The 13,320-nt window shown below is 35.7% G+C and overlaps 1 long non-coding RNA gene across 1 annotated transcript in view, besides 1 other annotated feature; it reads right to left on the bottom strand.

The window, feature by feature from the left end:
• Positions 1–3,280: 3,280 nt before the first annotated feature.
• LOC124903236 (uncharacterized) overlaps positions 3,281–13,320 on the bottom strand; it is a 116,328-nt gene continuing 106,288 nt past the window's right edge. Inside the window, exon 2 of the long non-coding RNA XR_007063922.1 lies at positions 3,281–5,229. This is a non-coding gene — a long non-coding RNA (uncharacterized LOC124903236). The remainder of the gene's footprint in view (positions 5,230–13,320) is intronic.
• Positions 4,561–4,730: an enhancer, noted in NCBI's record as "experimental_33146 CRE fragment used in MPRA reporter constructs". NCBI's record gives its function as "activates a minimal promoter by MPRAs in K562 erythroleukemia cells, with activity observed for the introgressed 13:64086204 variant allele {active_cell/tissue: K562}" and the evidence as "EXISTENCE:reporter gene assay evidence [ECO:0000049][PMID:34662402]".

Raw genomic sequence — 13,320 nt, 5'->3', positions numbered from 1 at the left:
TCACTCAAGCATTTTCCAACTTTAAAAATAAAGCATCGAACATCATCTCTATTTCTCACTTTCTTATTTCATCAACATGTCTTAAAAGAAATTATTTACTCTGGGTCTGCATCTCAGTTACAATTAAGAATTCAAACACTGATTTTTATCTGAAATTGTTTTTGTCAAGGTTAATAACAAACTTTATATGCCTAACTCACTTGTCATTTCTTTATGCTCATCTAATTCAAATTATCCCCAGCTTTTTACCTAATTTACCATTCTGCCTTCCAAAGAGTTTATCCTATTAAAGCTTCCCTGATACCCCACTTTCCCAGCTCTCTTCTTACCACATTGATGGCTCACCCCAAATTATCTTGCTCCTTCTCAGGTTTTTGGTTTTCTGGTCTCTTAACTTACAAAACTGGAGACCACAGGCATGTAAGCATTTTGTGTCTACATCGTTCACTGTAACATGAGCAGCAAAATTCTGGAGATCAATAAATATTTATTATATAAAATGGTGTCTCATTAAAATGGATAAAAGCCTAATCTGTTAATCTGCAAAACTCTTGCTCTGTAAAATGCAATGTTGTTGCTTGAAAAATCATATACTTTAGACTGCTAGTATTGAGTATGCTGACATTAGGAAGTGTAGTGAATAGTTTCTAACCATTGATATGCAGTGCCCTAATTTCTCTCAGTAAAAAATTATATTATTATTTTTTAAAGCTTCCAGTGCTGACTTTATGCCTAGAGGAGTGTCTGGAGTATAGCCGCTGTTCAATGTTTTGTTGAAGTAATAAATTAATGCATGACCAGGCACTCTCTGTGCCTACTTCATGTTCTCAGATTATAGAATCATGAGATCTGAAGTGAGAGTTTAAGAAAGAGAGAAGGGAAGAACTGACATGATCTATGTTCTAAGGCAGTACTTTTTGCCCAAAACTGAATCATCAAGCCCATTATTAGTCTGCATAATTTAAAAGTGCTATGGGCATTTTTAAAAATTTTACTAAATTAATTTTAGTCCAATGAAATGCATTGTGTGTCAGTGCTTCTCAGGTGACATTTAATAAACTGTATTAATATTTTGTTAAATAAATTTTATTTTAATAACCTCAAGGAGAGAATGCGTGTAACCGTTTTGAAAGACCTTCATTGGCTTCAAGGGATGAATTGATACAGAAGAGTCTATTCCCCCTATCTGACAAAATAATAATGTAAATATCACCTAAATATGTCAGAAATAAATTGCCTTTAAGATTATACTCACAAATAACTTTCAACACCCTTTTAAAAAATTGCTTTAGGTATCTTAATGTATTTTCTAGAATGTCACAAGATGCAATTAAATGCTTCCACTTAATAACTTTGTTCATTGGACAACAGTGGGTACCTAGAGTATATTATAAAAATGTTTACCAAGGTCTATCAAGTTAAGGAATTTAGCAAGTAAAACTAGAGACAAAAATTGTTTGCTCCTATCTGTCTCTATGTCTCATCAAATCATGTCTGATTATGGCTAGATTCCCTAGTATTTAACTATTATTGAATGCAGTAATGAAAGAAGCCATGGAGATACTTAATTATCCACACAGTGGGTGTCCAATGGAGAAGCTTCTTTTTAACCTTTTCCTCCGTGATAAGATAATTACTGTCTGGTGCAATTGCTACTAATATAAATATTCACTGATTGCAAACTGTGGCCTAAAGGCTGCTACTGATAAAAGCTTCTCTGTGACCCTGTGGGGGTGCCGTTGCTCATTTCTAAACAAATAAGGCCTCATCAACCAAAGAACCATCAGTGTTTCCATATCCAGAAAATTTAAATAAAATTAGAAGATAATTTCTGGCAAAGCGTTATAAATCCATTTTAGTAAATCAAATATTCAGTAATGTTTCTTACTTTTTATTTAAAATAGAGCCAGATAATCATCCATGAGAATATGAATTAGCGTTAGGATGATTATCGTGTTATGTTTTCATAAATTATTGTGAAAATGTAATGCAGATTCTTTTCTCCAGGCAGTATTTCTAACCATCTATATTTTATAAGGGGATATTTCATTGCTCAGAGTAGTGGAATCAATTTGTGTTTTCTTAATGTACTAAATACTCAACAAAATATCAATGACAAATACTGACAGATAGTACTTGTATGCTTCATCAATTCAGTGCTGAGAAATGGTAAAGATTTTGACCCTAAGAGATTTCACGATTCTTTTGAATCAACAGAGATAAAATTTTGTCCAACTTGGTTTGCATACAGTACACTAATACCCTGCTCGAATTCCTTAAACATTGGTAGTTCATATATTTCTGGACTTATACTCTTTTGTGAATCAGAATATGCAATTAAAACTCCCATTATTAATCCATATTGGATAACAAATTGTGTACTATAATGGAGCTGAGTTGATGAGAAGGAATATTTTAAAAGAAACATGTTTTGTTCTCTGACTTCTTGGTATAGAATACACATTCCAAATAAATCATCATTGTTTTTTATATTCATGAGTAATCAGACACAAAATTGAATTCCAGTGTAATTCCCCTGTCGGGAAAAGGAAATAGAAACTTACTAAGGTGTAAGTATGTAACAACCTTAAAATTACCCACCTCTCAAATCCTCCTAGTGTGCCTTCTGCAACTGTTATTCCAAATTTAGCAAACTCAGTGCAATCTCAACATTTCCCCATACCTCTACTTACTGAAATTAAAATCTGGTCCTATTCTAAGGGCACCCTTCCAGTAAGTTGTGAGAAAGAGAGTTTTGTTTTGTTTTCTCACAATTTTATGTGGAGAGAGATTTGGTCCATTATTGCATTCGAAATGTACATTTTTATGGCAAACATTCTAAACTTTAACCTACCTAATAAATGCAGTAGTATTTGTCATTATTATACTTAACATTAGCATACTGATTAATAATGCTGATTAGACTTTCTTCATTTCTGATGCCTTTCAATGCAAAACACCAGCACTCTTTCGGCTTCTTTTTGCAGGCTCTTTTACAATCTTATTAAATATTGGTGTTTTTCAAGGCTCAGGTGAAGAACTTCTCACTTCTTAATCTATTTTTTGTCCCTTGGTGACCTCATTCAATTACCACCTCTATGTGAAATTAGTTTGATACGATTTCCAGACTGACATATCCAACTCATTACATCATATCTTTACTGTAATTTCTCAAGGTCACCTCACCTTCAAATCATCATGCAAATATTGAAATACTGATCAATGTCTACTACTCACAGTTATTCTCAAATATTGAGAAAAATTTTCAAACAGACCAAAAGATTGTTGGATGTCTTTAATGAAAAATCAGATACTTTCTGGCATATCTATCTGTGAATTCTGTGAATTTTATGGCATTTTATTGCATTTCCTTGTCTTTGAGCTATTGACAACTCTCTAAGTAATAGATGACTGGGAGCAATTAACATTATTTTTATCCATAGTCATTAATAAATTTTGTCTGGTAGAAACTCAGTTGATTTCCATTCCTTACTATGAAATAAACCACTTTTACATCCATTGAACAAATTCATTTCAGCATTCCATTCCTGATTGCCTATATATTTGTTATGCACCTTTAAGCTACAGGTAGTTGTAACTTCTTCAAAGTTCTCCTAATACCTACAATAAAATAAACCAGCTTGTAATATTAAAAGCTTTGGCATGTGTTTCTTTTAAATTTGTTTGAAAAATCATGATTATACCTTTCAAATAACATTCTTAATAAAAGTAACAATTATTTGATTGTGCAAAATAGAAATAAAGTCTTGACACATTATTCCTCACCTACGTCACCAATTCTAAACAAATCCTGTTGTTTTCACTTCTTTAATATTTCTATTATTTTAGTGACATCGACTGCCCATTATCATTGTCTTAGTCAAAATTATCATAATCTCTCTCAAGGACTATTGCAACAGGTATCTCACATCTATTTCTTCCCTCTTTTAAATTACTTTACATACTGTATACAGAAAATCATTTTAAAATCCATTAATATCAATTGTACACCTTTAACAGTTCAAAAATCTTTGTAAAGTAAAAACCAAAATATTGAAGATTTGTCATGTTCTCCATCTCACCTATCTCTAAGATTTCTTCTCTCAACATGCCTCACACACTTCTTTACATTTACCTTATTTTAGTTTGAAATTGTCATAAACCTTCATAATGCCATATTTTTGAAAAATGTGATTCCTACTGCTGGGAATGTGTTTATCATAGACGCCTCTGTCACAGGATCTTTTGGGTGTCACTTCACCAGCCAGAAACTCCTGTGGCTGGCGGCACCTCTGCTTGAGTTTTACTCGTGCCTGCTGGGCTCATTTCACCCACTCAGCCCAGCAGGCTGCACTTGGCTCGTGCTACTGGCCTAGATCCCATGCCTGCTGAGGGCAAGCCAGGCTCAGAGGGGTGAGGGGTGTGTGAGCAAGTGAGTGCAGGGGCCAGCCACTGCACACAGCCGGGCGTGCTGGCTGCTGTGGTGGGGCGGGCAGCTCCAGGTGTTGGCACAGGCATTGGCTCCTTGTGAGGCTACAGCTGGACCAGTAGCTGGACCAAGCATACCACAAGCAGCTTTCATTGTGGGTGGCAGCATTTGGACGAAGAGAATGTGGTGGTTCCCGAGAAAGAGATACCAGCAACCCTGGAGCCCCAAGGTGGGGGGTGCTCTACAGCTCTCTTGTTCCCATTACCCACAGCCCAGTGAATGGCGGAGAGCCTGTTTCAGCTCGTTTAGTGCTGCCACTTCCCACCAGCCCTTGGCGCTCGGGCTGGCCTAGCCCTGTCGCCACTTTCCATCACATGGGGTGGCCGCCTGATTACTGGCAGAGGACGGGAGGGTGATAGAGGTACAGGTCTGGGCCCCCAGAAGTGTCACTGCTCTTCACTCCTGCGGTCCAATAAACAGGAGCATGGCATCACTCCCAGCAGCGAACCTGCCAAGAACGTGTTACACTCCTTTTTACATTCGCCATTCATCTGGGTCCTGAGTTCTTGTCCCTCCCAGGAAGAATGAGGTTACCCGGACAATTGAAGAGTGAGCAAGGTGGAGGAGTTTTATTGAATGGCAGAACAGCTGTCAGCAGAAGTGAGTAGATTCTATCCATAGGCAGGCAGCCCCGATAACGTGGCTCAGTCCAGGGTTTTCATGGGCTCAGAATGGAAGAAGTGTGTGCTGACTGGTCCATGGGCAAGTGGAAGTACATGCTGATTGATCCATAGGCAGGCCTGGAAAACATAAAGACATAAAGGCTGGCTGAAAGACATAAAGGCTGGCTGAAAGACATAAAGGACGTTCTCACTCCTGGTGGTGGATTCCATCTGGAAGAGGCAGCCTGATTTTCAGGCTTAAGGCTGTCTCCAGCCTGAAGGGGGTCTTCCTGGGAACCCACCCCTGTCTGCCTAGAAATTGGCCTGCCTCCTGCCACCATCATTTCTCCAACTCGTTCTTTCCTACTCATCATACAATATATCTTAGAGATTTTTAGTAATTCTGTCAATCATATGTTTTCTTTGTCTTTTTGAATGAAAAATACATTTCTGTAGCTGGTAGAAAATTCCAATTATTAATCACACATATAAATATGTAAATTTATTTGTCTTTAACTCGTTTTACTTAGGCCACAAGTGATCATTTCTGCTAAGTAACAGAAAATAGATAATCTTCCCATTTGTAGTAATTTTCTAGTTTTAGAATTAATCATTTAAAGTCATCACCTGAAGTCAATATGAGCTTTAAATTAATTAATTTCAAAATTATTATTTCCCTTTCTTCTCTCCCTCCTTTTTCTCTATGGATATTATAAGTTTTTGGATATGGAGAGGGGAGAGGAAAGAAATTATATAGCATCCTAGTATGTATATAGGGCACACTGAACATAATTATATAGTAGTTCCTAGCTCACCTTGGGCATTTGAGCATTTATTATTTCCCAGCACCAAAGGTGAGGTTACTGGTCCAAATAAAATCACTGATTATGATGGTCAAGTGCTGTTCATCTTTCTTGCTCCCTGGGTTACTGTGTTCTTCATCAATTATCTCAGTATTTTTAATGTTCCTTTTCTGATATGAGTCGTAAGTTATGTAATATACTACTTTCTCTGAACCTTAATAGCCAAACAGCAGTTCTTTTGCTCAAAGATCTCCAAATGTGTCTCAGGTTTCTGTAATATTTCCCCTTGCATGCCCACTTGCATGTATGTGCACACACCACCGCATCCGCCACCAACACACACAGATACTCAGCTAGGTTTAGGAACAACAGAAGGGGACAGATATGAGGGCTTTTTCTCAAACATCCTCTGCTCTATAAATTCTAATTATGTTTCTACCAATATGCCTCAGCTTCTTTGTGTTTTCTTAATGTGTACCTTAAAGTTCTAAAGACAGTTAAAGCAAACTGCCTTTGACATTTTTATTTAATACTTAGAGGCTGGGTATTTTCAGCTGGGTAATTAAATTTATACTTATCTCTTCTTGAATAAATATAAAGTATTATAGTGTGGATGTGTCACTTAGAATCTAAGGCTGAATATGCATTCACTCTCTGAGATTTTTAGTTTAGTATTTTCATTTGCCTATAGATTAAATATTCAGCTATATGAATATAACTTATATATTATACTTCTCCAGTACTGCACTCTTTCATCTGACTTTAAAGTAATACATTCTATTTCTGGTTCATCCAGTTCCACATGCACAATTTCAACAATGTAGGTCACCAATAAAATATTAAGTAAGAATTAAGGTGTATATGTGTGTGTATGTGCTTGTGCTTAATTCTGAATAGAAACTTCTATATTCCTTAAATTTTAACTATGAAAATAGTATTGTCAGTAAGAAACAAAATGTTATTTTGAATACAATTAAAATATTTTCTCTAAAATAAATGTAAAAATCAACTTAATTGCTTTAGATAAAATTTTATTGGACTTTAAATTTTCCCATTCTATTGCATATTTTAATGTCAAGGAATTATTATATGAAACTTAAATGCAAAGCTCTGTATTTAAAATAATATCTTTATTCTTGGAAAATTATTACTGGATTTATTTTGCTCTCAGAATATTTAATTCTATTTTCTTTAAACCTTTGTTCAAAATACTATAGAGAAAAAAATTAAAAATCTAATGAAATATATCTGATATGGACTGAATTTTGTCCCCTGTAAGAGTCATATGTTGAAGCTCTATACCCTAATGTTACTGTATTCAGAAATAGAGCCATTAAGGTTAAATGCGCCATAAAGATGGAGCTCTAATCCAACAGAACTGGTATCTTCATAAGAAAACCCGACACCAGGAGTTCGTGAGCACAGAGAAAAGGCTGTGTGGGAACACAAGAAGGCAGCCATGTTCAAGACAGGAAGAGAGGCTTCACTAGAAGCCAACCCTGCCAGCACCTTGATCTTAAGATATCCAATCTCTGTAATAGAATGATTTATATTTCTTTGGGTGTATACCCATAATGGGATTGCTGGGTTGAATGGTATTTCTATCCTTAGGTCTTTGAGGAATCACCACACTGTCTTCCACAATGAAATAATTTACATTCCCACCAACAGTATAAGCATTCCTTTTTCTCCACAAGCCTCACCAGCATCTGTTATTTTTTGACTTTTTAATAATAACCATTCTGACTGGTGTGAGATGGTATTTCACTGGGGTTTTGATTTGCATTTCTATAATGATCAGTGATGTTGAACCTTTCTTCATATGATTGTTGGCTGTATTCCATTATAAAGACACATGCACATGTATGTTTATTGCAGCAATATTCATAATAGCAAAGACATGAAATCAACCTAAATACCCATCAATGATTGACTGGATAAATAAAATGTAGTACATATATACCATGGAATACTATGCAGCATAAAAAAGAATGAGATCATATCCTTTGCAGGGACATGATGGAGTTGAAGGCCATTATTCTTAGGAAACTAACACAGGAACAGAAAACCAAATACTGCATATTCTTAGTTGTAAGTGGGAGCTAAATTATGAGAACACATGGACATAGAGAGGAACAACACACACTGGGGACTTTTGGAGGTTGGAGGTTGGGAGGAGGCAGAGGATCAGAAAAAATAATAATGGATATAAGGCTTAATACCTGGGTGATTAAATAATCTGTACAACAAACCCCCATAATACAAGTTTACCTATATTACAAACCCGCACATGTATGCTGAATTTAAAATTAAAATTAAAAAAGATACCCAGGCTCCATAACTCTAAGATAATAGATTTCCTTTGTTTAAACTGCTCAGTTTGTGACATTTTATTATGGCAACCCAAGCAGAGTAACACATCATTGTATAAAAGGGTACTGGAAAGAGAAAACTTTGAAGTATCAATAAAATATGAAGTAATTTAATCTTTAAAATTCTAATAATGTATACCCTTGTCCCAACTTAGCACTAGAAATTTTGGAGTTCAAGATAGTAAACAAACTAATAGTAATATTATTATAAAAGTAAGAATAAGAATATGTTCTCATTTTCTAATTCATATTATATATTTACTAATAATAAGAAATTAATGAGTTTCTGCTTAATTTAGTTTCATATACTAAAGGTATTTTTAGAAACTAATTTATTTGAGATATGTTCAAATTAGAATGTAATTCTCAATTTTCATGTCTACAAGAACTTTAAAAACATTAAAAGAGAAACAAAAAAAAAAAAGAAAAAAAATCTGCCACTAGATTATTGAACTCAACATAACAGAGAGGTCTTATAAAATTCAGAATATAGTCTTTACCTTTTTGGTGGCCCTGAAACATACCTGACATAACTGGTTGTACTATAGCTCAGAAGTGTTGGCTAAAAATCAATTTTAACTAGGTCTTAGTTATCTTATTCAGAGCGGCTAAAGTCAATTGCACTTTTTCATCAAAGGAACATGTCTTAATGGAAGAAAAACCAGAGTGTCATCTCAGTCCCTAGCCCTTCTTTCCACCTTTTTTTTCCTCTTAAAACAACTTTTTTCTCATTATCTCAATATTGACTCCATAGATTGGTTATGTTTGTGATAAAATTGAACAACTTCAGTTTCTCATCTAATTAACTTTTTCCCCTCTTGAGTCTAACATACAAACTTAATATCTGCCCTCCTTCCTGGAAAAACAAACTCCAAACAAGGATATTTATATGGTATTTCATGTTAGAAGAATAGAAGAACAGGATAAAAGATTAAATGATGTATTCTATGGGCAAGCATGAAGAAAATATGGTTTATGTTTTCACAAAAATGCCCTATCATTAACAAAACACAAGATGTCAAAAATGTCCTTATTTAAAACCAACTAATTATGGAGTTTAATAACATATGCAAAAAAGAGAAATCTTCACAGCAACACCAAAGTTAGTGTTTGATTGAATAACTGGAGACTATAGAAGAGCCAAATTGACACAACGAAAAGATAACCACATTTCAGTTTATATTATGGTTTACCAAATGGATGAAATAATGTTCTAACCATGACATCATTGCTTTGCAACCAAGAAGTAATTCAATTCCAATCAGGATCAAACTTTCAATATTTGAAGTAAAGGAAATGTACTTATTTCCAGATTTGTCATCACTTATCTGGGTCTTGATATAACAGATTAGTAAAGATTCTTTGTTTTATTGGGAAAGGCATTAACCAAGTGATGGCAGTGCTGGAGGAAGAAGCCAAAGCTACTAGAGGAGCATCAACATCACTGGTGTTGCCATTCTTCTTACACAGGGGAACACCATCTCCATGTGTCTGCCTGCCATGGCAAACACACAGCAAAGTCCACTGAACTTTGGATTTAATCAATTGTAAACATCCTAATATCAGTACAGCATGACTAGAACAACCTAATTATATCAGAAGATGTAAACTGTGCATCAAAAGACTCCACAATGGTGTCCAACAAACATGGATATCCTATTATACAGACATTTTCAATAAGGTTGAGATGGACAAAGTCGTGGTGGCCAAAGTAATGATGGAGAATAAACAGAAAGTAATCCAGTTTTTCTATCTAGTGACTAAATCTTAAGGAAAAATTGAGTACAAACACTTGACCTAAAGAGTGGCTTACCATTAAGTTAAAAAATTTTAAAAAAAAATCTCTGCTACTAGATTACTGAACTCATCATAACAGAGAAGTCTTATAAAATCCAGAATACAGCCTCTTACTTTTTTAGTGGCCATGAAACATGCATTGAAGGGGTGATTTTAACTTCAATTTACATCAGCTAAGGTAATAATTTATTCTGGAAGCCACATATTGCTGTTGTGTTTATTAATGTATGAAATATGCTGATATCTATTTGCCCTATTATTTGATAATTTAAGAGTAGGGATAATGGTACATAGTAGTTTCAGTATGAAAAATATTTCACCAATATCAATAATCTTCATGCTGATACCTAAAGCTACTAATTTTGTTTTATATTCTATGATAAGGAGAATTAGAGAGAGCAGGTTATTCATAAATTTTAATAACAATACCTTATTATTGTAGAAGTTTCCAAACTTACTGTTACCAACATTCTTCATATTTCAGTAATTTTTTCACTATGCCTCCAGGCGAAAAGAAATACCTGGAGTCCTGCTTATTAAGGAGTTGGGTTCATACTACTTAATGTATATTTGTGCTTTAACAACTCAGTAATTATTTGTTAAAAAATGCATGAATTTAAAGAAAAAATATTGTTAAATATTGTTAAATAATCTCAATTACTTAGTAATTTTGAGAGACAGGACTAGCTGGATTTCCTAGGCCGACTAAGAATCCCTAAGCCTAGCTGGGAAGGTGACCGCATCCATCTTTAAACACAGGGCTTGCAACTTAGCTCACACCTAACAAATCAGGTAGTAAAGAGAGCTCACTAAATGCTAATTAGGCAAAAACAGGAGGTAAAGAAATAGCCAATCATCTATTGCCTGAGAGCACAGCTGGAGGGACAACAATTGGGATATAAACCCACGCATTCGAGCCAGCAATGGTTACCCTCTTGGAGTCCCCTCCCTTAGTATGGGAGCTCGGTTTTCATTCTATTAAATCTTGCAACTGCACACTCTTCTGGTCCGTGTTTGTTATGGCTTGAGCTGAGCTTTTGGTCGCTATCCACCACTGCCATTTGCCGCTGTCACAGACCCGCCTCTGACTTCCATCCCTCTGGATCCGGCGGGGTGTCCACTGTGCTCCTGATCTAGTGAGGCGCCCATTGCCGCTCCTGATCGGGCTAAAGGCTTGCCATTGTTCCTGCATGGCTAAGTGCCCGGGTTCATCCTAATCAAACTGAACACTAGTCACTGGGTTCCACGGTTCTCTTCCGTGACCCACGGCTTCTAATAGAGCTATAACACTCACTGCATGGCCCAAGATTCCATTCCTTGGAATCCGTGAGGCCAAGAACCCCAGGTCAGAGAACACGAGGCTTACCACCATCTTGGAAGTGCCCGCCGCCATTTTGGAAGCGACCCACCACCATCTTGGGAGCTCTGGGAGCAAGGACACCCCCCGCCCGGCCCCTGGAAACAATTTGATGTATTGTTGGAAGTGGACACTGTTAGTACTCAGACTGGACAGTAAACCCTCATCTCTCTTTCCACATTAGCTTTCACATAGTTCTTGCTTTTTATCACAAAAATTGCTAAAAACCCAATTTCACAAAGATATGAATGACATTGGGAAAAAAATGTAGCACTAACATGGAATCTGAACTACCTTGAGCAAATATTTCACAAGCTTTCCTACAGATGTTAAGCATTTCCATGTTCCCCAGGAGCATTTATTATATCATGCTGTGCCCCTGTGACTATGCTGAAGTACCCCGGGGTGCTTTGGTACACGTACTGAGACCCGACGTCTTATTAAGTTGTCAGTTTCTGTTTGTAAGTGTACATTCTTGTGATTTTATAAGCCAATTTGAAAACTATAAATCTTATTTCTCTGAAACTTAGTATCCCTCTACTGAGGGAAGATACTCTATTCAAACACAGTAGATATGTATACAATATTTTTTAATTTGTAGATAAGAATAACTGGCATATCTTCTACAATGACAGTCTCATCATGACAACTCTTAATCTTTTTGCATACAACGTATATACATTTTACTCCATTACCATGCAATCATGAATACCATGCATTCATCAATACCATTTTTAATTGCTCACTCATGTTACAGTTCGTTTTCCAGTGAGTGATTATCTGGTAAATCTACAGGTTATTTAAGTTAGTCTGTAAATGCTTCTACTACAAATGAAAGAACTACAGAAGATCTGATAATCATCTGTATAGGAAAATTCTTATACACAGAGATCAAGTATGTTTATGTTACTGACACTTAAAAAATGATTGCAAACCTTTTACAATTGGACACTTTTTTATTTCAATATACTAGTATTGAATATCTAGTAAATATAAGAGAATTTTATAGTCTTTGGATGAAATGGCAAGAAACAAGTTTTTTTCCTGAATATCATAAAACTTAATTCAAATTCACACATAAACATAAATCAAATGGAAATATTCAATGTTTAAAAGAGTCTTTACAAGCAATGCAAAACGGTAATGTTACTGAGAAGTCAATGAACCTCAGCACTCCGACAATCTTAGAACCTAAGCGGTCTGTTTTCTTCCTGAAAAATTACAGGTCAAGGTCATATGTCAAGGCTTGCTTGAAAGAGAAATTTTACTCACTGAGTCTATGCAAGAAGAATCACTTTAAAAATCTTGTTATAATAGTATGTTTTAAAAGAAGATATATTTTAATTATCATAGAACTCGAATTTATAAGGGTTTGATGAATGGTTCCTAAATTCATCTGGATTTTCAACCTTCCTTAAATCTTAAAATGAATCACTAAACAACTACTTGCGTGACAGTTGTCCCAGTGGCTTTGGACTGACTCCATTCTCCCCCCACTTTTTTCTTTTTTTTTTTGCTTGTAGTTCCCAAAAATTACTGTAGAATGTGTTGAAAATGCAATATCTGAGATAGGAGATAGGGAGGTACTGGCTAGAACAGCCCAGGCTCTGTTCCAGTCCTCTTTCCCCCAAAAGAGAATGACATTCAAAGTTTTAGCCCAGCATATCTCATTGTCCAAGTGTATAAAACCCAGGGGTTGAAGGGGAGACTGTTTTCCAGGGCCCTCAGCTGTGGTACAAGTTGGGCATGCGTAGTTTAGACTCCATCTGCCCTGGACTAGCATTCTTGAGCTTTGCAGGACCATTTCACAATGAAATCTAGGCTTTTTCCTTGCTGCCTATCTGTAAGTAATAAACCCATTTCATGTAACTTGTGTGTGGGTGTCCTGTTGTACCAGACT

This window comes from Homo sapiens, chromosome 13 (assembly GCF_000001405.40).
Source record: "Homo sapiens chromosome 13, GRCh38.p14 Primary Assembly".
Lineage (NCBI taxonomy): Eukaryota > Metazoa > Chordata > Mammalia > Primates > Hominidae > Homo > Homo sapiens.
The sequence above is the reverse complement of the archived record's forward strand: the minus strand, read 5'-3'. Positions and strand labels throughout refer to the sequence as shown.